This window comes from Homo sapiens, chromosome 6, assembly GCF_000001405.40.
Source record: "Homo sapiens chromosome 6, GRCh38.p14 Primary Assembly".
In the NCBI taxonomy this organism is placed as follows: domain Eukaryota; kingdom Metazoa; phylum Chordata; class Mammalia; order Primates; family Hominidae; genus Homo; species Homo sapiens.
Genome location: NC_000006.12, coordinates 29,723,434 through 29,749,071, shown reverse-complemented (window position 1 = coordinate 29,749,071; position 25,638 = coordinate 29,723,434). Strand labels below are relative to the sequence as shown.

At 47.4% G+C, this 25,638-nt stretch overlaps 1 protein-coding gene, 1 long non-coding RNA gene and 3 pseudogenes across 15 annotated transcripts, besides 2 other annotated features; 3 read left to right on the top strand and 2 right to left on the bottom strand.

The window, feature by feature from the left end:
- The first annotated feature begins 22 nt into the window (after positions 1-22).
- On the top strand, positions 23-22,471 carry HLA-F-AS1 (HLA-F antisense RNA 1). 2 transcript variants are annotated; one of them, NR_026972.1, is made up of 6 exons: positions 23-172; positions 1,647-1,924; positions 10,186-10,521; positions 10,636-11,106; positions 20,577-20,707; positions 21,933-22,471. It is a non-coding gene; the product is annotated as an HLA-F antisense RNA 1 (long non-coding RNA). The 2 variants fall into 2 exon arrangements; NR_026973.1 differs by lacking the exons at positions 1,647-1,924; positions 10,186-10,521; positions 10,636-11,106; positions 20,577-20,707.
- Positions 217-724: an enhancer, noted in NCBI's record as "H3K4me1 hESC enhancer chr6:29716125-29716632 (GRCh37/hg19 assembly coordinates)". NCBI's record gives its function as "activates a minimal SCP1, AML or CMV promoter by ChIP-STARR-seq in primed H9 embryonic stem cells {active_cell/tissue: H9 hESC(primed)}" and the evidence as "EXISTENCE:reporter gene assay evidence [ECO:0000049][PMID:30033119]".
- Positions 424-818, bottom strand: HCG9P5 (HLA complex group 9 pseudogene 5; annotated as a pseudogene).
- On the top strand, positions 3,288-7,516 carry MICE (MHC class I polypeptide-related sequence E (pseudogene); annotated as a pseudogene).
- HLA-F (major histocompatibility complex, class I, F) lies at positions 10,540-25,638 on the bottom strand. 13 transcript variants are annotated; one of them, XR_001743374.2, is made up of 9 exons: positions 25,545-25,638; positions 25,145-25,414; positions 24,624-24,899; positions 23,766-24,041; positions 23,509-23,625; positions 23,029-23,061; positions 22,068-22,189; positions 12,502-12,657; positions 10,540-10,950 (listed from the first exon to the last, which is right to left on the bottom strand). XR_001743374.2 is itself a non-coding variant. In XM_017010813.2 (8 exons), the coding sequence occupies exons 1-8, from the start codon at positions 25,606-25,608 to the stop codon at positions 10,942-10,944; spliced, it is 1,167 nt and encodes a 388-aa protein (XP_016866302.1). In that variant the 5' UTR covers positions 25,609-25,638; the 3' UTR covers positions 10,540-10,941. The 13 variants fall into 13 exon arrangements, 11 of the variants coding, with proteins under 11 accessions (XP_016866302.1, XP_011512866.1, XP_047274676.1 ...); XR_001743373.2 differs by lacking the exon at positions 12,502-12,657 and having other exon boundaries at positions 10,540-10,696; positions 10,884-10,950; XM_017010813.2 differs by lacking the exon at positions 12,502-12,657.
- On the top strand, positions 21,918-22,475 carry RPL23AP1 (ribosomal protein L23a pseudogene 1; annotated as a pseudogene).
- Positions 24,245-25,079: an enhancer, noted in NCBI's record as "H3K27ac-H3K4me1 hESC enhancer chr6:29691770-29692604 (GRCh37/hg19 assembly coordinates)". NCBI's record gives its function as "activates a minimal SCP1, AML or CMV promoter by ChIP-STARR-seq in naive and primed H9 embryonic stem cells {active_cell/tissue: H9 hESC(naive and primed)}" and the evidence as "EXISTENCE:reporter gene assay evidence [ECO:0000049][PMID:30033119]".

Below are 25,638 nucleotides of genomic sequence, written 5' to 3'. Positions count from 1 at the left end.
CGCTGGGGTGGGGCCAGGTGACAGGAAATTTCTGGTGGGCCTTCGCGGCTCCGCTGGGTTGGCAGCCGCTTGAGCCACTGCGAGGAAAGCAAAGTCTGGGCCATGGAGATGAGCCTAGTCCTGCTGTTCCTGATCCGCACTGCCCTTTTTGCACCCCAGGGAGCTGCTGCTGGTAAGTGGGGTTCCTGGCGGTCCTCGGCGGAGCGGCAGCGGCGGGGCGTTTCTGGGGGTCCGGGTGGGTAGCGGCGAGCGCTGTGCGGCCGAGGCGGGGCTCAGGTGCGCTGTCGGGGGTGCGGGGAGTGGACGCGGCCCGTTCCCGCCACACCTCAACCCTGCTTCCACGTCTCTTTTCAGTCCTCCTCGGGATCGCTCATCACCCGCCCCCTGCATTTTCTGGTCTTGTCCTGCACTTTCTCTCCTCTCCTCTCCTCCGTCTCCTCTCACTTTTCGGACAAACCAGTCTTTCTGAGGCCCCTGGGTTCCTGGGCTGCTCCTGTGAATGGCATTCGAGGGCCCTTCCAGCGCGGCCGCTGAGGCAGCCACCTCCCCCGGTGCTGGGGGCGGCCCTAAGGTCCCTGAAGCCCTGTCCTCTCCCGGAGCCGACGTGTTCTCAGCTCCTGGGCCGCATCTCCTGGAGTTGGGGCCCTCCTTTCTCGGGACCCGGAGCTAGTGCTTCCTGCTGCTGTGGGGACTGTGGGGCTCCTGACCCTCACGCTGAGGGGTTGGAGTCTGCAGGCTCCGGGCAGAGGATTCTTCCTGCGACTTCTCTCATCCCCAGCTCATTCTCCCCTGGCCTCCCGCTGCCGGGGATCCTCTCTTGTCTTGCATCCTTCCCTGCTACTATTAACTCCAGTGATCTAAGGACACCAGATTCCCTCCCACCTCCTCCCCTGCCCTCAGGGCACCTTGGGTCCTGTTGCCCTCCCAGCTCCCTGTTACCCCTTCCTATCTGCAGTTCTCTGATACATTTCTAGGATGTCCTCTGCCTCATCCCCTGCCCCCGCCACCGCAGGTCCCTCCTGCCTCCCTTATGGGCCTTTCCTAGAAGCAGCCTTAACCCAGGGCTGCCCCTATGCCTCCCACTCCCAACTCTCCCTGACCCTAACTCTCTGGTGCCGCCTTTTGTCCCAGGGTCTTCCCTCCGTCCCACTCCCCTCTAGACCACCCAAGGGGAGCCCTAGTGCTAATGTTGGTTGGGCCTTAGGCAGGGCACAGGGCAGGGCAGATGCCCCCTCCCCTCTAGTGCAGGTGCCTGCTCTGGGCCCTGCCTCACGGTGGCCCCTTCCCTACTCCTTCATCCTCAGCCCCACCCTCTTGAGGACCCCCCACTCCAGCCCACGGGTGCTGGACCATCCCTCCCTGGTCCCTCCGCCCCTCTCCGCCTTGGGACCTTGTGCTGCTCCTACCTCTTGCCCAGCTGCCTTGGGCCCTCAGCAAGTTCTCATCTTTCCCAAGCCCCACCCTCACTCAGAGCACCCTCCCCTCCTGTCCTCACCCTAACCAAAGTTCCCCCAGGGTCACCCCCACACCATGCTCACCCCATCCTCCAGTCCTTGCCCTGCACATCTGTCCTCCTCTACCCAGACCCAACACAGGCCGTGTGTCCAACTGCTTCTTTTTTTTTTTTTTTTTTTTTTTTTTTTTAGACGGCGCCTCCCTCTGTCGCCAAAGTTGGAGTGCAGTGGCGCGGTCTCGGCTCACTGCAAGCTCCGCCTCCCGGATTCAAGTGATTCCCCTGCCTTAGCCTCCTAAGTAGCTGGGATTACAAGTGCCCACCACCACACCCGGCTAATATTTTGTATTTTAATAGAGACTGGGTTTCACCATGTTGACCGGGATGGTCTCAATCTCCTGACCTCGTGATCTGCCTGCCTAAGCCTCCCGAAGTGCTGGGATTACAGGCGTGAGCCACCACACCTAGCTGGTAATTCATTTTTTAATTTTTGGAGGAATCAACACACTGTTTTCCATAACAGGTGCCCTATTTTGTATTTCCAAATGCATTACACAAAGGTTCCAGTTTCGCAACCTGTTTGCCAAACTTGATATTTCTGTGTGTGTGTGTGTGTGTGTGTGTGTGTGTGTTTGATAATAGCCAAACTAATTGGTGTAAAGTAATAGTTCATTGTGGTTTTGATTTGCATTTCCCTAATGACTGCTGATGCTGAGCGTCTTTTCATGTGTCTGTTGGCCATTTGTACATCTTGTTTGGGGAATTGGCTATGCAAGTCCTTTGCCTACTTTTGTATTAGTTGAATGTCTCCTGTTTGAGTTGTAGGAGTTCTTTATGTATTCTGGATATTAATCTCTTATCAGATATATATGATTTGCAAATATTTTCTTTCATTCTGGGGGTTGCTTTTTCACTGTGTTTATTGTGTTTTTAATGAACTTTTTTATTTTGATGAGTCCAATTTATCAATTTTTTCTTTGTTGTTGTATCTTTGGTGTTATATCCAAGAAAGTGCTATCAAATTCTATGGCATGAAGATAATTCCCTATGTTTTATTGTAAGAGTTTTTCAGTTTTAGTTCTTGAGTTTAGGTCTTTGATGTTTTTCTTAGTTAATTTTCATATGTGGTGTAAGTTAGGGATCCAACTTCATTTTTTTTTTTTTTGGCATGTGAACATCTGGTTTTCCTAGCACCATTTGTTGAAAAGATGCACTGACTCTTTAAGACCCTTGCCACCAGCCCACCCCAGGGGACACCAACTGGTCCATCCACCTCCCTACTTGGGGCATTGCCATGCCACTCTGAAGCCCACACCATTGCTTCTCCCTGGGATACGGACCTCGTAGAAAACGTCTCTGGCACCACAGCCTACCTGCCCCTCCTGCCTCACAGCCAAGTCTCCCTTGCCCCCACCTTGTCCATGTTGAGCCTTCCTCAAAGGCAGTGGACCTTGCCTCCATCTCACCCTCACCTGTGCACCACAGCCATGGTGGTCATGGGTCCCTCTGAGCCTGGGTCCCTTACAGTTTCTGCTCTCCCCTCTGGCAAGACCTTCCTTCCACCACTGCCTTCATGCTCCTCCCTTGAACCTGCAGGGCAGCCCCTTCCATTGGCCTCCTCCCTATATCCTGAGGGGGCCTGTGGCTGCCCTGCCCTGGCACCTGGCCTACAAGTTTGCCATCCCCATTCCCCCTTCTTCTGTTCCTCAGTCCCCTCCTCTATCCTCCCACCTTCCCAGTTTTCCTTGCGTCTGAAATCCTCATTCTTGTCCCTTTGCCCGTGTGCATTTCCTGCCTCCTCAGGAAGGTCGGGACAGCAGACCTGTGTGTTAAACATTGATGTGAAGTTACTTCCAGGAAGAAGTTTCATCTGTGATTTCCTCTTCCCCAGAGCCCCACAGTCTTTGTTACAACCTCACGGTGCTGTCCCAGGATGGATCTGTGCAGTCAGGGTTTCTCGCTGAGGGACATCTGGATGGTCAGCTCTTCCTGCTCTGTGACAGGCAGAAAGGCAGGGCAGGGCCCCGGGGACAGTGGGCAGAAGCAGTCCTGGGAGCTGAGACCTGGGACACAGAGACTGAAGACTTGACAGAGAATGGGCAGGAGCTCAGGAGGACCCTGGCTCATATCAAGGGCCAGAAAGGAGGTGAGAGTGGGCAGTGGGCAAGAGTAATGGGAGAGGCCTTTTCCAGGAGAGTTGGGGGCAGAGAGCAGGACCTGTCTCTTCCCACTGGATTTGGCTGTGAGTAGGGGTGAGGAATGGTGCTCAGCGGGGCTCAGCCCACACAGGGAGGGATGGAAGAGGGCCAGGGAGGGGTCCTTCCTGGTCCGAGTTCCTCACTTGGACTGGAATGGAGAAGTCACTGCTGGGTAGGGGCAGGCAGCCTTGCATTCCCTCCAGGAGATTAGGGTTTGTGAGATCAGGAAGCCAGCAGCACCAGGGGCTTTAGGCATTTCTACACATATGGGAAGCTCTTCCTCTCTCCCAACCTGGAGACTCAGTAATGGACAGTGCCCCGGTCCTCCAGAACTCAGACTTTGGCTATGAATGTCACAAATTTCTGGGAGGAAAATGCCATGCAGACCAAGACACACTATTGCCCTGTGCAGGCAGACTACATGCAAAAGCTATGGTGATATCTGAAATTCTGGAGGTATCAGAAAAACAGGTACTGTGAAAGTAGTGGGTCCTCCTATAGAAGCCTGAACCTGGGGTGGGCATTAGGCAGGAAAGGAAGGCCTCAAGGCCAGGGCTGCCTCATCTGCCTCCCAGCCTGCCCATCCTGGAGAGCTACCTCCTAGCCCCACGACCCAGGAGCCCACCCCTGACAACCCTCTCCTCAGCATCAAAGCCGGAGTCCCAGAGTGTGAGGCCACAGTCCTGAGGCCCATCTTCCAGCAAGCCTAGGGGAATTGGACCCCAGGTAAGGACCGATTTGCAGAAGGTCTGGGGTCAGTGTGGGTTTCAGCGAGAGTCAGAACAATAGAGAGGACCAGTCCTGTTCCCTGCATCTCCCTTAGAGGGGAGAAAGGCTTGGCCACATGCCTCACTGGCTCTGCCCTTTTGTCTCCAATGACCCCCACAGTGAATGAGATGCACAGTGGGGCCTTAGAAGGCAATGTCACCATGATGTGCTGGCCTCCATCTTCTATCCCTGGAATATCTCTCTGACCTGGCATCAGGATGAGGCATCTTTGAGCCAGGATGCCCAGCAGTCTAGGGGTGTCCTGCCCAATGGGAATGGGACCTACCAGACCTGCATGGCCACCAGGATTCCCCGAGGAGAGGAGCAGAGGTTCACCTGCTACATGGGACACAGAGGGAATCACAGCACTCACCCTGTGCCCTCTGGTGAGCCTGGGGCAACTCTCAAGGGTTTCGACCTAGGGAGGTCAGGCCAGGGTGGGGATAGCAGGGACGGCTGTGGCTTTGCGTGCTCAGTGTGTCACAAGGCCCTTTTTTTAGAGAAGGCCCTGGTGCTTCAGAGTCAATGGCAGCCATTCTGTATGCTGCTATTGCTACTGTCATTATTATTAGTATTAGTAGTAGTAGTAGTATTCTCTGTGTCCTTTGGTGCAAGAAGAAGACAACATCAGCTGCAGAGTCCAGGTGAGAAAACGGGGCAGTGGCTGGAGATGGAAGGACTCCTCTCTGGGCAGCAGGGTCCCCTCATAGCTCCTGCACAGATAGACATGTAGGTAACAAGGTCCTGGAACAGGGGATGGACATTGGGGTATTTGGGAGGGGAATGGGAGCCACATCTCCATCTACACCCCTAAGTCCTGCCCAAGCCAGGGCTGGGCCACGGCCCTCAAATGTCCAGCGGTGGCCTCCTCCTGCTGCAGGTGAGGAGTGGGCAGCAGGGAGGGCTGTGGCACCTGCTCTGTCCCCATCCTGGTCTCTCTTGTTTCTTGGGCTCACCACGGTGCGTCCAGGTGGGGTGAGTTGAGAATCACGTGCTGATTGCTGAGGGCCTGGATGATCATGGCTTCAGTGGGAGTAAATAGTAAAGGCGGCTGTGATCTGGGGAGGGGCTAGAAACTGGAGAGGAATCTGAGGAGAGGCGGTGCCCCTAGTCTCTTCCTCTCTGCATCCCTCTCTCCTGTTTCTCCAGCCATCAGGAGGACACCAAGAAAAAGACCCACGAAGCCCAGACTGGGAGGCCTGCCTGTGCAGCCCCTTTGAGGTCCCCTTGTAACAGGGAGGGTCCTGAGTGCACACAGCCATCTCTGTCCACTTTGCAGCTCCCCATGGGCCTCCTCCAGGAGCTGTCTTGGGGGTATCATGTCCTCTGCATCACTGGAGGTTCCCACCACATGGCCCTGCCTCCCTGAGTTTCTGTGCAGATGTTATGGAGGAGTATATAAGCAGACATCCCTGGGCCATTTGGGAAGCAGGAACCAGCTCCTTGTCAGGGCAGCTGTGGTCCCTATTTTCATCATATGTCCAAGTGTTACCTTGTCTAGCCCCCAGGAACACAGTCCCCAGGACCATGTTTTTTGGGGCACCCACAGCAGGGGCAGTGCAGGTCTGGTTGCTCCTGCTCTCACCTGCAGCATCTCCCGTAGAGGAATTGTCAGTTCTGGTTCCCTGTGGGCAGTAAAGGTTTCCTTGTAGGTCACTGGGGCATTGGCCAGAAAAAGGTTGTGAAAATCACATGCTAATTTCTCAAAATTCCTGCTTTCAATGTTGATGTCCAATAAAGATGTTCATAATTTCAGCTGGATATTCTTAATAGGATTTCCTCCAATACCGATGCTGTAAAGCATATTGAATGGAACAGGAATTCAAATTTGAAACTCTCTCTCTAGAAGGGTCCATGTGGGAGATGGTGGCTGTGGCTGTGGCAATCCCCAGGTGCAGAGTGGGCGGAGGCAGCCTCAGGCTGAGGGGTCTCAAGAAATCCCTTATTCCATAGGGAGAAGAAGAAGATCCTCTGTGGGTGTGAGGGCAGTGGCCTGGGTGGAATCCCTGCTAGGAACCAGACAGGAAGGCCTTGCAGCCTCACCAAGCAGCAGCCCTGGGGTGGAGCTGGATTTCCAGGGATGAGTGGACCAGGCAGGAGCAGGGCATCCCAAGTGCAGGTCATGGACCTGGGTGTCAAGGGAAGCAGAGCCTTCTTGAGCAAGGGGGTCTCCAGGGTCAGGTCAGGTGCAGACCCCATGGCAGCCACGTGTTTCCATCCTGGGCCTGACAGGCCTGCTGGGCTTCCTGGTGGGCTCTCCAGGTAGGAGCTGCCTGCTCAGGACTGGAAGGGGAGGAACACTGAGCTGTAGGTGGAGGGCGGAACCCACAGTGGGCAGGGCCTGCCCTGGTGTGCAGGTGCTTCTGCAGGAAAGGAGGGCCTGGGGAAAGAGGGAGAGAAAGGCCTTGTGTGTGACCCAGCCCAGGCCTGGAAGTACGTGGAGCCAGGGCCTCTCTCTGGGGAGGCCTCCCACTGTGTCCGAGCTGGCCAGGCTTGAGAGGAGGGGAGGGCACTGAGTTTCTTCTGGAGTCTTGTCATTTAGTCCTGCGGCCCTTTCAGTCCTTACAGAGTGCATAGTGGGCACAGGGCAAGTGCTGATCTTCATGAAGTCATGGGAGGGGACTGGCAGGGGCTGGGAAAAGTGCCATAGGAGGGAGAAAAATGTGGGAGCATCATCTTCCCTCAGAGAAAGGGTGAATCTGATTTTGGAGTGACTGAGGAGGGAGAAATCCTCAGGGAGTAAAAAGCAGCACTCTGCACCCAGGGGAGCATTTATTGGTTTCTCTATTTTCTGCAGAGCACGTGAGCCTGCAAGGCCCGGATCAACGCCCGGTTGGGACAGGAGACCACCAGGGCAGTGCACAGCTGGGATTTCAGTCTCTGGTGTCAACTCCTGGGTCTACTGGCTCCACTGAGGGCAGCTACACTCTGCAGCCAGATGGCCAGAATTCAACTCCCTGCCCAGGTCTCACCAGCACTTTCCCACTTGGTGCCTCAGTTTCCTCATCTATGAAATGGGGAAACTAACAGCATTTATTTCTTGTGGTTGGGTGGATGAAAAGCGTTAGTATATATGAGGGGTTTGCAGCTGTGCCACATTATTTTTGTTATCATTTGATTATATTTTAATATATTACATATGCGGTCATTGTATTATTATTATAAATGAGATTTATGAGTGAGTGTCCTGGTTACGGCTCCTTCTGGGGAGCCCAGGACCAGCTTTCCTGGCACCTTGAGGTCCCCTCACCCTGTCACACTCTCATGCATTACCTCATATCTACTATGTCTTCATAATTTTATACTATAGAAATTTACCCTTTAAGTAGACATTTCTGGTCTGTGTTTTATTTCAAGTGTCTGGGAAGGGATAGAGTATGAGGTTCAAGAGAGAAGGAGAGGTCTGTCTTCATGCCTTGACACAGCACAAAGAAATCTCCCCACCTCCCCCACATCTCCCCACCAGTTCTCGGTGATGGACAGATTCACAGCAACACAGAAAGGGCTGGGAAGGGATGGAGGGGGACATCTGCAGCCAGTGTTTAGGGGCTGACCCTGTGGGAAGACACCTGCCTTGCAGAGGACCTCTGCATCTTGCAGATGCAGAGCTGAAGTCTGATATGAGGGAGAGGACAGGGAGTGCTTTGGACTTTCCTGATTAAGAAGAATAGAGATCAGTCTGCTTCTGGGGTTAAGTGACCCCTGGGGAGATTGGACTGAATTAATGAAGAATAAATGAACTGGGAATGAGGATGAGTAAAGCAAGTATCAGCATCTCCCATTATCAGTTCAGACTGATTGGTAGATGGGGAGGTGGGATAGTTCCTGACCCTGTTGTGAGGTTCCTTTTAACTTTCTGGCCTTGGGGCACAGATGGGTGGTGCTCTTCTTGGTCAGGGTAGCCTCGGCTCCACTCAGGTAAGGCAGTGGTGGCAGGGAGAGTTATGGGATCACCTGTGAAACGGACCAAGGCAGGGATGGGAGCCCTCTGTGCAGCAAAAGTGGATGCAAGGCCTGCCTAGAAGCAAGAGGATGAAGGAACCTAGTTGGGTCCTGGTCCACTGCCTGCCTGTGTTCACAGGTCAACCAGTAAAGGAGGTGGGGTAGAGAATTCAATCGTGGGCTATCTATCCAGAGATGTGTTTACAGGTGTATTATTTCACATTTGTGTTCACGTTTGGTGTCAAAAACACATTTATACATGCCTATTTCATGTTTAAGTATTTTCACATTTTAGTTAACCCTTAAATATCATTGTTGAATGCGGTTGTCATTAGACATAAACTTGCATATTCACTGAAGCTTTTGTTTTTATTTTAATCAAATTTATAATTGTGCACAATTGAAAGAGTCAAATATTTGTGCAGAATCTCTTGAGAAAAATGAGAGTCCTCTCTGCCTCTTCTCAATTTCTGCCTTTCTAGGGGCCAACCACTTTCAAGTTTTTTAGCTGATTCTTTTGACTTTACTTCTGTATCTCTAACTACCATTTCTTTATTATTATTGCTTGATTTTTTTCAGATGCACCCATTGTTGCACAGCGCAATGGTGGATGCAACAGTTAAGAGTACTTGTTCTCTTTCACTCTTCCCAGTATATTTATATAGTGATTATGTTTAGTTCAGCCATCTCTTGTTTCTTTTACCATGACTAATCCTCTCATATGTCAACTGGACTACTTTTCACTGCCTGTACAACATTGGTTCTTCTTGGAGTTAATACTTGCATTTGTTTTTGTTTATTTTATTAACTCTCATTAATTTAAGTTTGATATCTCTTTTGTTTGTATGATTCTTTCAAGACGTTGGACACTTTGGACATTCTGTTAATTTTATCTTCTTGGAAATGTCCCTCCTGGGCCCTTCTGGCTGCTCCCATCTGGACTGGAGGCTTCTCCCCGTGGAGCAGAGTCACTGTCCTAGGATCTCCCTCCATCACTATCTGGGAAGGTGCTTTACATGCAGTGGAGCCACCTGGGTTCCAGCCAAAATGCAGACTGATTCAACATGTCAAGGCTGGGCCTGTGAGCCTTTCTGTCTAGTTTCAGGAGGTGCTGATTTTCCTGGTTCATGGGTGATAGCTGGGGTAGCAGGGATCTCTCTTTTTGTCTCATAGTTTTCTGTATCTAAGGTAAGCGCATACTAATATATTTTTAATGAATTCATGTACTTTTTCCCTAAATTAGTAACAGGGCTAATTAGTCTTTTCCTTGGGCCAAAAACTACATTATGTAAAATTTGGTATCTTAACTATTTTAAAGTATACAGTAGTACAGTATTAACTGTAAATACATAGTTGTGCAACAGATCTCTAGAACTTTTCATCTTGCAACACTGAAACTCTATGCCCATTGAACAAACATTCATCCATCCCCCTCACCGAGCCCCTAGCAGCCATTAGTCTACTTTCAGTTTAGACACCTCATATAAATGGAAATGTGCAGTATTGGGTTTTCTTTGTGATTGGCTTATTTTACTTAGCAGTGTCCTTCAGGTTTATCCCTGTTGCAGCCTGTGACCAGGTTTCCTTCTTAAGGCTGAATGATATTCCGTTGTCGATATATACCACATTTTCTTCATTCATGTGTTGGTGTGTGTTGTCTTGGCTATCGTGAATAATGCTGCTTTGAATATGGGTATACAATGTTTTTCTTTTCAAACCTTCCCTCACTTTGGTGGAATTAATCCTTTAGTAGCTACTTCTGACAGCACATATTTAAAGTATGTTTGTATGGTTCAATTTTTCCATTGTTTTTATTCTCTCCAGGAAGAGGAGATAAATATATGAAGGTGCTGTTTGGCACAGAATTTAATAGGGAAGAAAGAGACAGTATAACTCACCAGTGCTGGGTCTCATCATCCTGCAATTTCAGAACAACTATGAATACAAAAAGAATTTTAAAATCCCAGTCCTGCCTAGAAAGGGGAAGTCATCTCTAAATATGGTGGCCCTGGGGCAGCTGGCCTCCCTGCCAGGCCTCTTCCATGGGGGCCCTTTCTGCAGTGACTGTGGTTTCTTCCCATTTTACTCTGTCCTGTGTCCTGACTGAAGCGACAAGGTGTGTCTGCAGCTGTGCTCACACCTGGAGGAAACCTCAATGGTGTGAGTAAATTGTAAATGTTTACTTATTATGGGTTATTTTATTATTTATGAAGTATGTATTTTGATTTCATTCTACTGACAACACAATAAACCAGGACATGATGACCCTAGCAGCACATCCTCTTTCCTGTGTCAAGAAGCATCGTCCGGGGAGGTGAGAAGAAGACAGTCCTCCCTAGAATTGAAGAACCAGGGAGAACCAGATGGGCTGGGCAGGTGGGTTTTCACCTGGAACCTGGAGGATGAGCAATGACATCTCTCCACCCTGAGCTCAGCCCCGGCATCCACCTCCTGGGCTCATGAGCAGTGCAGTGGTGCCTCCTAGTGGTCTCTGCTCTTCCTTTTCCAGATCAAGCACAAACCTGAGATCCAACTGTCCCTCTTATGCGCCTGGGTTTCTTCACTGGACACCAGTATGAGTCAACTTTCCTGTAAAGCAGAACAAGCACGAGATTGGACCATGTTAGAGGAGGAATGGTGTCATCTCCACTTCTGGAGAGATCACTGTCCCCGTGTTTGGGGGAAGGACCAAGCCTCACTCCCATGCAGAGAAGAAGCTCTGACTGTAACTGCACCTGTGGAGAGGTGAGGACCTGTCCCCTCTACACCGATGGCCAGAGCCTCCAGAGTGGGGCCAGGCTTTTCCCTCAGCTGTGTCCTGTCAGGTTTATCTAGGCCTCAAAGAATAGACCCTGGACATTGCCTCTGGCAATGTGAGCTGGACACACACCCAGATGTAAGGTAGCCCTGCCAAGTATCCTGGGGTTGCCAGTAGTTCTGGGTGCTCAGTGTCTGGAGCGGAGGGTGGGAAGGAGGCTTGATGCAGAACAAGAACCATATGTCACATACTATTTTATTCTTTATTAGTGTTTTTGTCATAAAAAACCCCACGGGTACCATAAAAGATAAAAGATCTAAAAATGGTGCCCTTTAATCAAAAGTAAACACCCTTTAACCATCAGAGAGAGGGAGAAGTTTGGCAGCTGACCTAGAAGCCCCATCAACTGCCCCAGCTCAATGATAAACTCTTCTCTTCTTCAAATAAAAGCACATCCTGGCTTACATGGCCATCACTTCTTTGTACAATTTTATATTTTTATCATCTAAAGTTATAGTTTAGTTTTACCTTTAAGAGTATATTTTTATCCTCATTTATTCCATAGATTCCTGCTTGAAATTTATATTGTCTGGTAGTTTCCTGTCCTTTGCATTTTGCAGATTGCACCCCAAGGTGTGGTTTAATGTATCTCTATGACCTGTATTTTCTGTAAATTGGTAGTTTGTTATAGAGGTTTGCGTCTATTCAGGGTTTTTTTTTTTTTTTTTTTTTTTGCCATGAGGATTGATGGTACTATATCATGTTTTTCATCAAGAGGAAGAATTCAATACTAGTTATTTCTTTTTTGTGATGTTAATTGCCATTGCTGTTCAGTGGCTAAATCTGTTAATTCATTACAAATTGCAAAAGTCTCAGTCTTTCATTTCTTTTCATATACTAGCTGCATAATTTCTAAAATAAAAGATTTACCCTCTTCCACCAGTTATCTATTCAGTAGAAACTTGTTTTTTGAGAGACTAAACCAAGTTTCTAATCACCTATGACCCAGCAATTCCACTTTTTGTTATATACCAATAGAAATGCATGCATTTGTGTCCCAAAATATATGAAAATATTATTTATAGCAGCACGATTTGTAGACTCTGAATACAACACAAATGTCTATCAACAGTGGAGAGACAAGAAGTGTGAGCTATTTATAAAGCTGAGCACCTGACTGCCACGGGAGTGATAGTGACCACACACAGCAAGACCTGGGACATGGCAGTGACTGTGTCCAGAACTGACAGAACTAATCTATCATATTAGAAATCAAGAAAGTGTCTGCTCTAGGGTTGGGGAGGGTGATTTATGACCAAGTAGAACCCAATGGTGTTTCCTGGAGGCTGGAAATGCTATTCCTTGATGTGGCTGCTATTTACCTGAGTGTTCACTTTGTGAAAATCCACGGCCCACTTATGGTTTGTCCACCTTTCTCCATGCATGTTGTCCTTCATTCAAGTATACATTTCTGATGTTTTGAAACAATTCTCTCTAAGCTAATATAGAATCTCCATTACTGAAAGTCCTTAGAAATGCTGCATTGGAAAAAATTAGTCCAATTATTAAAAATCTATGAAATAAATGCTGTGACTCAGACATTAAGAGGAGAATCTACAACAAGAGCAGTAGGCTTGGGAGCTAACGCAAGAACAGCTTTGGAAATGGCTGTTGAGCCAGGAACTAGGAATCAAAACCCAAAAAGGCCCATGCAAGGTGGAGGGTGTGAAATGATGCCCCAGTAGTGCATGAATGAATGAGTCATGGGCAGTGGCTCATGGGTTGCTTGGTCAGTCAGGAACTTGAGCAAAATAAAGTTGGAAAACTGGGGGATGGAAGAGAGAGGTATGCACAGACCTCTTGACATGGGCAGAGCTTCAGAAGATGGTGGTTGCAGGTTTCCCCAAATAGAGAACATCAATAAAAAGGTAGAAATTTTACAAAGAGACCAGATAAAAAGTTTGGAGCTGAAAAGTGCAATAACTGAAATGAAAAATTCACTAGAGGGGCTCCAGAGCAAATTTCACCATGCAGAATGGAGAATCAGCAAGCTTGAAGATAAGACAATTGAAATTCTCTAGTTCAGTAGCAGAAAGAAAAAAAATTATGAAGAAAAATAAACAGAACTTTAAAGATCTGTGAGACAACATCAAGCACATGCACTTTGGGAGTCCTCAAAGAAAGGAGAGAGAGAAAGGAGAAGAATGACTATTTAAAGAATAACTCCAAACCTTCCAAATTTGATGAAAAACATTATTCATCCAACAAACTTGACAAATTTTAAGCAGCAAAAAAAATTAAATTTAAAGAGGTCCACACCAAGAGAACATTATAATCAACCTGTCAAAAGCCAATGACAAACAGAGCATATTGAAATGAATAACAGAGAAGGAACTTTTCAGGTTCAATGGATCCTCAATAAGATTGCAGCCCAGTTTTCTTCAGAAACCATAGAGTTCAGAAGGCATTGGAATGTTGACAAATTTAGAGGTCAGAAAAAAAAAGACTGTCATGCAGGAATTGTGTGTCTGGAAAAACTCTCCTTCAGAAATAATGGATTTTATATATATATAAATATATATATATACACACATATATATACATATATATACATATATATGACTATACATAGTACTACATATATATAACTATATATAGTACTACTATGAAATTATATATATAGTACTATATATAGTAGTCATACTATAAAAGCTAGTAGTAATATGTATATTTTTGGTGTTTATATGTGTGTGTGTGTGTGTGTGTGTGTGCATATATATATAGTACTATATATAGTAGTCCTATAAAAGCTAGTAGTAACATGTATATTTTTGGTGTTTAATTCTTCCTTTGTTTTTCCTATTTGGTTTAAAAGAAAATGCCCATTGACTAATGAATGAATAAACAACATGTAGTGTATTTCTACAATGGAATATGATTTAGCCATAAAAGGAATGAAATACTGATACATGCTACAACATTGCTGAATCTCAAAAACATGATAAGTGAAGGAAATCAGCTACAAAAGGATACATATTTCATGAACCCATTTTTGTGAAATCTTCAGAAGAGACCAATCTATAGAGAAAGAAAGCAGACTTGTGGTGACAGGGTCTGGTGGCAGGAGGAAATGGAGGGTGACTGCTTAATGGTGCAGAGTTTCCCCTGAGGTGATGAAATACTCTGGAACTAGAGAGTGATGATGGCTACATAACATTGCGAACCTACTAATTGTCACTGCATTGTACACCTATTGTACAATGGGTACAGTGGTAAATTTTGTGTTCATGTATATTGTATCACAGTAAAAAAGAGGCTGAAGAATAGATTCCAAAATCTTTTATATGGTAAACTCCTGAGTTTGCTTGAGCATCTGCCCATCTGTCTTTCCCCCTCAGGATGTCATCTCCTACTCAGAGCTCACCCTTGTTCTTCTGTAAGTAGAAAGCCTTTCTTCACAACACTCCCAGATCAGCCAGACCCAACCCCCAAAATGACTTTCTGTCTTGGATCCAAATGCTCAGGTGCAACTCTGGGGCAATTTCAGTGGGAGTGAAGAGATTATCCAACTAGGATGATTCATTTGGAGGGAAATGTTTGACCTTATGTTAGGAAAGTCATTTGCTTTCCTAAAAAGGATCCTGCTTACCAGTGAGTATATAATTTTTGTATGCCCGGGGTGGAGTTCACAGCAGAGGAACTAACAATAGCTCTAGGAACACCATACACCTCATGCGTAGCTGACTCACCCATCTGCCTCCCCCAGCTGAAGGAAGGAGCTGGATTATTACCTTGGCCCATCCATCAACTGCATTTCACTGGATGTGCACCCTCTACAAGTGTGAACCTTCCAGGGTTCTCAGTTGCTCTTCCTGCTGTTGTGTGGCCTCCACTGGTGTGGCTCATGCCCAGGGGGCCTGCAGGAGACTGAGTGTCTCCTAATTCTCAAGGCCAACATTTTCAGTGAGCTCAAATGAAGATTTTATGTTCTCAGGGACTCATATTTTCATCTGTGGAAGGGAAAAATCCATCTCGCTGTCTTAGGTGTGATGGTAATTTTACATAAATATATATATAATTATAGTATTTTTATGTCTATAAATGAGATAATCAGTATTTTATAAATTGATGGTATTCTTAGCATTGACTTCATTGCTCAGCTAAACGCTGTAACCAAAGGATGAGTCATGGAGTGGAGGAAGAATATTTTTCTACTCTCTGGAGGTGCCATAATCGGCATTTCTGCCCTATGGATTTCAAATGAGAAATTTGCTTTAGGCTGAGGTTGGAAGGAGATCTGAACTTCTTTGTATTACTATTATTTTAGATGGGGTCTTGCTATGTTGTCCAAGCTGGAGAGAAGTGACTATTCACAGGTGTGATAATAGCACACGACAGCCTCAAAATCCTGGGCTCAAGTGATTCTCCCATCTCAGCCTCCTGAGTAGCTGGGACTACAGGTGTGCACTCAGCCACTTTTCATTGTTATTTTACTTCAAATGCTTTATTTTGAATATTAGAAATGTGAAAATCTATTTGATCACAGAAGACTTTAAAATACACAGATCAATGCCTACTTGAATTAAAAAAAATAAAATACACAGAAGAAATACCACCTAGGTCTCCCCTCAAAAATATCACTGCTATTGTATTGTTGAACCTTCCTGGACTCAGTGTGACTGTTGGTCCCTGGAGCTGTCCTTTGCGTGGTGCTGATTTCCATTTTGTTGGTGGTGGTTTGTTTTTGTTTTCGTTTTTGTTTCTGAAACACAATTTCACTTTGTCACTGAGGCTGGAGTGCAGTGGTGCGACCTCAGCTCACTGCAACCTCCGCCTCTCGGGTTCAAGTGATTTCCATGCCTCAGCCTCCTGAGTAGCTGAGATTACACGCATGCGCCACCAGGCCCAGCAAATTTTTTGTATTTTTAGTAGAGACAGGGTTTTGCCATATTGGCCAGTCTGGTCTCGAACTCCCGACCTCAAGTGATCCACCTGCCTCAGCTTCTCAAAGTGCTGGGATTACAGGAATGAGCCAAGGCGCCTGGCCCATTTTGTTGTTCTCTATGTATATATTTTTATAGGTATCTTTATTGTACAAGGTTGCATTCATATGTCATGGGTTATCTTGAATGTTGCTTTTTGAATGTATTATTTTACAAGTAGTTTTCCATGTTGTAAACTCTGTATAAAGTTTACATGCTTTTTTGGCCGGCATGGTGGCTCACGCCTATAATCCCAGCACTTTGGGAGGCCGAGGTGGGTGGATCACTTGAGGTCAGGAATTCGAGACCAGACTGGCCAACATGGTGAAACCCCATCTGTACTAAAAAATACAAAAAATTAGCCAGGAGTCTAGGCATGTGCCTGTAGTCCCAGCTACTCAGGATGCTGAGCCAGGAGAATTGCTTGAACCCAGGAGGCAGATGTTGCAGTGAGCCGAGATCACTGCCACTGTACTCCAGCCTGGGTGACAGAATGAGACTCCATCTAAAAAAATTTTTAAATTTAAAAAGTTGACACACTTTTACAAGCTGCATCCCATCTCAGATAAGGAGGTGATGTAACTGAGTTCTTTTAGATCCATCTGCTTTCATCTTATCTTTTTGTAGGTAATATTTTGACAAGCATGTTTGTACATAAAGATTCTCCTGTGGTTGGGATTTTAAAAATTCATAGACTACTCAGGCCAGGTGCGGTGCCTCAAGCCTGTAATCTCAACACATTGGAAGGCCAAGGAGGGTGGATTGTCTGAGCCCAGAAGTTCAAGACCAGCCTGGGCAACATGGCAAAATCCTGTCTCTACAAAAAATACAAAAAAAAATTAGCTGGGCATGGTGGCATGAGCCTGTAGTCCTAGGTACCCCAGTGTTTGAGGTGGGAAGATTGTTCGAGCCTGGAAGGTTGAGGCTGAAGTGAGCTGTGATCATGCCACTGCCCTCCAGACCGGGCTACAGAGTGAGAATTTGTCTCCAAAAATAAATAAATTCATAGACTACTCAAGTGATAAATATTAAACCAGAGACTGCTTTAAACATTTTAAAGCCTTATTATACTGTCATACTGTGATTGTACTGACATATTTATTCATTTAACAAATACTTACTGAGAGCTATTTACTGATTATGATGGTGAGAAACAATGGTAAGGAAACAGACCAGATCCCTTTATCAAAGAACATACATTTCAGTGATACTGACTGTAATGGTTAATTTTAGGTGTCATATTGACTGGGTTAAGGGATGCCTAGATAGCTGGTATAACATTATTTCTGGGTGTGCCTGCGAGGGTGTTTCTGGAAGGGATTGGCATGTGAGTGACTGAGCGGGGAAAATCCTCTCTCGCTGTGGGCAGCCACAATCCAATCACCTAGGGGCCCAGATAGAACAAAAAAGCAGAAAGGAGTCAAATTTTCTCTCTCTCTCTCTCTCAATCTGGGACACTTTTCCTGCCCTTGGACATCAGAACTCCAGGTTGTATGGTCTTTGGACTCTTGAGTGTTGCACCAGTCAACCCTTTATCCTCCCACCTCCTCCTCTGGCCCCTCAGGCCTTTGGCCTTGGACTGAGCCAGGCTACTGTCTTCCTTGGTTCTCCAGCTTGCAGGTGGCCTCTCATGGATCTTATCAGCCTCCATAACTATGTGAGCCATTTCCACTAATAAATCCCCTCTTGTCTATCTATCTATCTATCTATCTATCTATCTATCTATCTATCTATCTATGTATCCATCTACTCTATTGGGTCTTTCTGTCTTGGTAACCCTGATACACCAACAGACAATAAACAAATAGAATCTGTCACAGTATCAGTGATAATTGCCACTGATAAAAAATACACCTAGGCTAGAAGATTGGTGGGAGTGGCGGGAATGGCAGGGAATAGATTTCAGAAAAGGTAACTGGGCATGACATTTCTGAGAACTTGACCATGGGACATTTGAACAGAGACTTGAATGGTGTGAGGAGTGAGCCATGTGGACCCCCGGGGAGCAGGTGCATGTGGGAGTCACAGCAGGGGCAGGTAGCAGAGACAGGATGGAGCAGTGACAAAAGGCTGGTGTGAGTGGAGACGAGTGAGCTGGGCTGAGAATGGCGGGATGAGGCCACAGGGGTCCTATGATGAGGGGCTTGTAGGAAACGGTGAGAGACTGAGGTTTCATTGTGCCTAGGAAAGAAAAGGGCTGAGGTGTTCATAGGATATGTCCTAATTTTCGTTTGAGAGGCTCACTCTGCCTTTGTGTGAGTAATGGACAGTGGGCATGAGAGGCAGCAGGCAGCCCAGCTGGAAAGCCCTTCTGGTTTACAGTTCTTGAGAGGGTGGCTCTCGGGTGGTGGCAGGAGAGGAGTGAAAAGTGATTGGATTTAGTGTTGATATACTTGTTAATATTGTGGTAAAACATACATACCATGTAATTTACCTTCTAACCACTTTTTCAGTGTACAATTCGGTGGCCTAAAGCACATTTACAATGTTGTGTAACCACCACCAATATGCATTTCCAGAACATTTTCATCATCCCAACAGAAACTGGACCCATTAAACCAAAGCTGCCCATTCTCCCTACCCTCAATTTCTGGTAAATTCTATTTTACTCTCTGTTTCTATGAATTTGCCTATTTTAGCTGCATCACATAAGTGAAATATTATATTTGTCTTTTTGTTTCTGGCTCATTTCACTTATAGTGTTCTCAAGGTTCATCCAACCTGAATTTCATTCACTTTTAAGGCTGAATAATATTCCATGCTATGTGCACCATGGGTCGTTTATCTAATCATCCTCCGATGGACACTCGGTTGCTTCCACCTTTTGGCCATTGGGAATAGTGCTGCTACGAGCATGAGTGTACAATTATCTGTGTGAGTTCCTGCTTTCAATTCTTTTGGGTATATGCCCAAAAGTGGAATTGTTGGCTCCTATGGAAATTGTGTTTTTACTTTCTTGAGGAAGCATCATACTGTTTTTCATGGTCGCTGTACCACTGTACACTCTCACCAGCAGTGTACAAGTGTTGTGACTTCTCCACATCTTCGCCAACACTTGGACTAGTGAAGTTCAGCATATTTTCATGTGCCTATTGCCCATTTGTATATCTTCTTTGGAGAATTGTCTATTCATGTTGTTCACTCATTTTTGAATGAGATTGTTTGTTTTTCTGTTGTTAAGTCATAGTTCTTTATGTATTCTGGATATTAATTCTTTATCAGGTATATAATTGGCAAATATTTCCTCCCATTCTGTGCATTTTCTTTTAACTCTCTTAATAGTGTCCCTTGATATATAAAAAAGGTTTTTAAATTTTGATAGTCTAATTTATTGTTTTTCTTTTATTGGTTGTGCTTTTGCTCACCAGCCAAGAAGCCATTGCCACATCCAATGTTCCTAAGATTTTCTTCAATGTTTTCTTCTAAAAGATTTATAGGTTGAACTCCTAAGTTGAGTTCCTTGAACCATTCTGAGTTAATTGAGTTAATTTTTGAATATGGTGTAAGGTGATGCTATGAATTTTGTCCAACATCATTATTTTGTATGTGGGTATTAAGGTTTCCTGGTACTATCAGCTGAAGTGGGGCTGATACACTTGTAAGATGCAGTGAGCACTGATAAATGGGAACACCATGCATTTATTTACTTGTCTTTACTCCACAGGTGATTGGAGGAGGCTTTTGGTGACAAACCCAAAAGAAATGAATACATATGAATTCTTATTAAATCAAAATCAAATAAAATTATAAATTTTAAAATGTTAAGAGTGAGGCAAGACTAGAACATCACTAGACAGGCTGAAACATGCTGAAATGGAGGGTTTACTGCTTTCCTTGCTTTAAATTTTGCTGGCTCACAATGGCTTATGTTTATTGCATAAGGGGGCCACAGGGAGGGTTGCTTGCTCACATAAGGAGCCCCTGGTTTTCTTCAGAAACAAGTTCAAATTCTCCACTTAGAGCCAAAAAAAATTAATTGCAAGATGTTCAAACTGAAGTTGGCTTCTATAAAGTCAAAGAATAAGCAGTAAGTGTAAAATAAACCTCAGGAATCCAAGGAAATTCTACCTTTTTACCTAGAAATGGCCTCACAATGCGTCGCTGAAGGGAGAGGGTCCCTTCCAGGAACCCCATGATGTAGGGGTTTCTGCTGCAGTCCCAAATTGAGTTGTCCCTTCTCTCTAACTGCAGGTCCCACAAGACCTTACTGCAGCTTCAATAATTTCACCTGGTCTAAGATTTGAGGGGTTTAATGCTTTTTATTTTGAGCTGCTGTCTGGGACTTAGAAAGGTGACTTGCATTTTTTGTCAAAATATTATTTCTTTGATGGAATTTGACATTGGTGGACACTCTGCCTTCCTGTGTGGTTCCTACAAGGGCAGATGACCTTGCACTTCTTTTTGGCACTTCACTAGCAGTGATAGAAGGTTTGAAGTTAGGGCCTCCCTCAATCTTTACCCTCTCTCTAATGCAGAGGATTGCGGCCTGTTGGCAGAAGAGTAGTGTCTTGGGCCCCAGCTGACCTGATGAATATCAACATCCAATGCCCTGTAATGAAGTCATGTGTGCACATATCATCACTTCTGCATGCAGTCTCATGGGAAGGTGGGTTCCTGGACCCCAGGTTACAGGCCTAAGCACTACAGGCATACAGATGGAGCTCCAGGGAAGGGAGAGATGACTGGGGTGGGACCACACTTTTCCTTCAGGGTGTCCCTCAGTTCAAGGAAGCTTGTACTCAAGGGAGAGAAAGTCCTGGCAGGCCTCCTTACCCTTGGCAATCTTGGTATTGGGGCTGGATAATTATCTGTTATGTGGGTGATTGGGCTGACTTGTGCACTGCAGGATGTTCAGCATCCCTGGTCATTCCCCACAAGATGCTGGTAGCACCTCCTCCTCACTCCAGTCATGGCAACAAAACATTTTTCCAGACATAGCTAATGTCCTCTGGTGGGAAAATTGCTCCTGGATGAGAATACTTGTTTGAGAGGTAGAGACACTCAGGAGCTGGGCCTGTAGAGGGAAAGTGATCCGGAAGTAGATACAAAGCAGAGTGGGGCTGGAGAAGACAGGAAGGGAGTCTAGGTCTGGAGGGGCCTGGCCTGATGGTTGAAGGTCTGGAGCTCAGAACCTCAGGGTATGGGGAACTAAAGCTCGTGAGGAATGGGGAGAGTGGCAGAACCTCCTATTGCCAGAATATCACACTCATACCCACTAAACACCCAGCCCATGGTTCTGCATCTCTGGGAAGTCAGGATAAATTTGGCTGTATGGGGTCAGAAAGAGTCCTGGTAACCCTAGGCTTTGTGTGCCTCCTGATGTGATGAATGTGCGGTCACAGCTCCTCCTGTAAACATTGCTGCCAAATGTTTAACCCAGAGCTACATAGGTCCTTAGGAGGCATAGCAGTTAGAGGAAAAAAGTTAAAGGCATCAGGGGAAATAATATGATAAATTCAGTGTGGAGAAGATTCCACAGGTATTTGGCCTCATCTCTGAAACAGGTAATGCCATTCTAAAAGAAAAAAGATGGGTTGATTGTTATAGATTGTAGGTAATTAAAGAAACATAACCAAAGGCAACGAGTGGACATTTTAAGAAAACAAGCTATAAAAAATAGGTACAAAAATGTACTGAAAGAAGTGGAGATATTTGAACATAAAAGGACTTTAAATAATATTATGGAATTATTTATTTTCTTTGGTGTGATAATGTTGGTTCTTATTCTTAGGAGGTGTGTGATGAAGTATTTAGTGGTCTAGTATCATGGGTCTTGCAACTTACTTTAGAATGACTCAGTCAAAAATCTTAATCTGGACCCTTTTCATAAGATGGTGCCAAGAACGAAGAAGGAAGCTCCTGCCCCTCCTAAAGCCGAAGCCAAAGCGAAGGCTTTGCAAGGCCAAGAAGGCAGTGTTGAAAGATGTCCACAGCCACAAAAAAAACAAGATCCACATGTCACCCACCTTCCGGCGGCCCAAGACACTGTGACTCCGGAGGCAGCCCAAATATCCTTGGAAGAGCACCCCCAGGAGAAATAAGCTTGACCACCATGTTATCATCAAGTTTCCGCTGACCACTGAGTAGGCTGTGAAGAAGATAGAAAACAACAGCCTACTTGTGTTCACTGTGGATGTTAAAGCCAACAAGCACCAGATCAAACAGGCTGTGAAGAAGTTTGTGACATTGATGTGGCCAAAGTCAACACTCTGATTCAGTCTGATGGAGAGAGGAAGGCATATGTTCGACTGGCTCCTGACTACGATGCTTTGGTTGTTGCCACCAAAATTGGGATCACCTAAACTGAGTCAAGCTGGCTAGTTCCAAATATATGTATATCTTTTCACCATTAAAAGAATCTTAATCTCTCTATTCACTCTTTCTCTTCACACACACACACACACACACACATTTACGTGCATGCTATAAAAACATATCTACCTGTATCTATAAAAAGATATATTTTTATTCTTTATTTTTAAAATTTATGTATGTTCGTGAGGCACAAGTGCAATTCTGCTACATTGATATCTTGCTTCTCAGTCCCACACAAGGAAGCTGTCTCACACTATAGAGAAAATATTCATGAACAAATTCGTATCAGTCACAGTGAGAGGTAACACTCTAAATAGCCCATTTCATGCTCAAGACATCCAAGTCAAAGAAACCCAATAGCACAGCTGAGTCCCCTCTGTTCCCCCCCAACACCCCACTCACATCAGGGCCCCTGCCCTGGAGTGTCACCTTTATTAGCTGTGAGAGACACCCCAGAGCCCTGGGCACTGTCAGTGATTGGGGTAGAACAAAAACAGGACCTGGTCAGAGCCCACAGATGTGGCTAGAGGAACTGTGGGGTGGGTGAGCTCCCTCATAGGCTCCTGACCACAATATCCCAACAATCTCAGGGATCAGCCTCCTTCATCTTACCTGCAGCCTGAGAGTAGCTCCCTCTGTTTCTATCTATGGGAAGAAAATGTCCTGTGAGAGGCCAGAAAGGAGGCAGGGCCATAAGGTCCTAGAGCAAACCCCTAGTCTTTGATCCCAGAGAAGTTTCCAGAAAAGTGTAACTGTAGATCCAGGGCAGGATCAAGAAATATGAAGAAAGCAGATGTGGGTCCTGGACCAACTGCCCTCCTGAGGTCTGTCATCAGCAGGGACCTTCCCCTGTGATTTGTGACTGCTGGGATCAGGTCCCATCACCACCATAATCATCGAAGTGAAGAATCTGTCCTTCATTTTCACAGGAGCTTTACAAATGAGTAGGTGCTGGCACACAGGGCCCAGGCTGGGTAGACCCATGAGTGTGGATGGTGCTTCCCAGTAATGAGGCAGGGCACACTTCTACTTGGGGCTTGCAACCCCCAGTGGGACAAGAAAACTCAGACTCCACTCCTCACCCCTTCCTACCTGAGCTCTTCTTCCTCCACATCACAGCAGCGACCACAGCTCCAGTGACCACAGCTCCAAGGACAACAAGGCCAGCAACGATGCCCACGATGGGGATGGTGGGCTGGGGAGACTGCTCTGGGAAAGGAAGGGAAGGTGAGGGGCCCTGATCTCCAGGCCTCAGCCCTGACCCTGCTGAAGAGCTCCAGAAGGGCTCCTGCTTTCCCTGAGAAAAGACATGACCCCTCGTTCCCCTCTTTACCCATCTCCCTCCTTACCCCATCTCAGGATGAGGGGCTGGGGCAGCCCCTCGTGCTGCACATGGCATGTGTATCTCTGTTCCTCTCCAGGAGGCACCACCACAGCGGCCCACTTCTGGAAGGTTCCATCCCCTGCAGGCCTGGTCTCCACAAGCTCTGTGTCCTGGGTCTGTTCCTCCCCATCCCGCTGCCAGGTCAGCGTGATCTCCGCAGGGTAGAAGCCCAGGGCCCAGCACCTCAGGGTGGCCTCATGGTCAGAGATGGGGTGGTGGGCAACGTGTGCCTTTGGAGGATCTGAGAAGAGTCAGAAAATTCAGGCACTTTGCACTCCTCATGGGAAACCCCAGCAGCACCCATGTGACCAACCTGAGAATGGACAGGACACCTGGGGTGGGGAAGGGAGCACAGAACCCAGACACCAGCCTGGACACAGACACCTGGGAAAATCTCCTATTCCTTGGAAAGTTAGAGTCTCTGAGGGGGGAGCAGGGACTTCTGGCCCTGACCTAAGTGGAGGCCGAGGGACTGGAATCAGAGCCTCAAACACATTGAGTGTGAGGCAGAGAACAAAACTTGAGAGAAAAGTCACGGGGCCCAAGGCTGTTGGAGGGCTCAAAGGGGACCGCGGATCGGTATTCCAGGGACTGTCTTCCCTCCATTCCCTCAGAAATTTCATCCCTTAATTGTCCCAGAGAGCAGGGCGGACTCTCACAGTCACTCTCTGGTACCGGATCTCGAAAGCCAGGAAGATTCTTCCTACTCAGGACTAGAGGGAGGGCGATATCCTAGCATTGGGTCCACTTTCCTCCCAACCTTGTGCGAGGCCATCCCAAGAGATCTACAGGAGATAGGGAAGGCGCCCATGGCCCCTGGTACCTGCGCGCTGTAGCGTCTCCTTCCCATTCTCCAAGTATCTGCGGAGCAACTCCAGGCACTCGCCCTCCAGGTAGGTCCTGAACTCCTCTGCATATTCCTCTGCCTCATAGAAGCGCTGGGTGATCTGAGCCACGGTGTCCGCCGCGGTCCAGGAGCGCAGGTCCTCGTTCAGGGAGATGTAATCCTTGCCGTCGTACGCGTGCTGGTGATACCCGCGGAGGAGGCGTCCGTCGGGCCCCATGTCGCAGCCATTCATTCCCTGGAGGGTGTGAGACCCTAGCCGGTCCCCGCAGTCAGCCCCGCCCAGCTAGCCCCGCCCCCTCCCCGCCCAACCCGCGGGGATTTTGGCCTAAACTGAAAATGAACCTGGGTAAAGGCGCCTGGGACTCTCCCGGGTGGAGGGTCTGGGCGGGTCCCGCTGCCTCGGGGTAGATTTCGGATCCGGAGACTCTGAGGGACCCGGGCGGTCCGTGGCGGATGGGGGGTGGTCGTGACCTGCGCCCCCGGCCGGGTTCACTCACCAGCCTCGCTCTGGTTGTAGCGGCGGAGCAGGTTCCTCAGGGCCACTCGGTCAGTCTGTGCGTTGGCCTTGGCGTACCCTGTGGTCCACTCCCAATACTGCGGCCCCTCTTGCTCCACCCACGGCTCCCGCGGCTCCATCCTCGGAATCGCGGCGTCGCTGTCGAACCGCAGGAATTGCGTGTCGTCTACGTACTCCACGGCGATGTAGCGGGGCTCCCCGCGGCCGGGCCGCGACACAGCGGTGCTGAAATACCTCAAGGAGTGGGAGCCTGGGGGCGAGGAGGGGCTGAGACCCGCCAGACCCTCCTCCGGAGGCGGCTCCCTGAGTCCTGCGCCCCCACCGGGCGGGCCCCTCACTCCTCCCCACAGAGGCCGTTTCTCTCTGGACCCCGCACTCACCCGCCCAAGTATCGGTCAGGGCCAGGGCCCCTGAGAGCAGCAGGAGGAGGCTTCGGGGCGCCATGACCCCAACCTCCGCGTCTGGGAAAAATAT

Excerpts from the sequence above, each read along its gene's own strand:
- HLA-F (XM_047418718.1), bottom strand. The coding sequence starts at position 25,608 with ATGGCGCCCCGAAGCCTCCTCCTGCTGCTCTCAGGGGCCCTGGCCCTG. Across the intron at positions 23,626-23,765 it reads GCCCCTCATCCTGAGATGGG|AGCAGTCTCCCCAGCCCACC; the intron begins GTAAGGAGGGAG and ends TTCCTTTCCCAG. Across the intron at positions 22,190-23,028 it reads GAGCTACTCTCAGGCTGCAG|CCTACTCAGTGGTCAGCGGA; the intron begins GTAAGATGAAGG and ends TCTTCTTCACAG.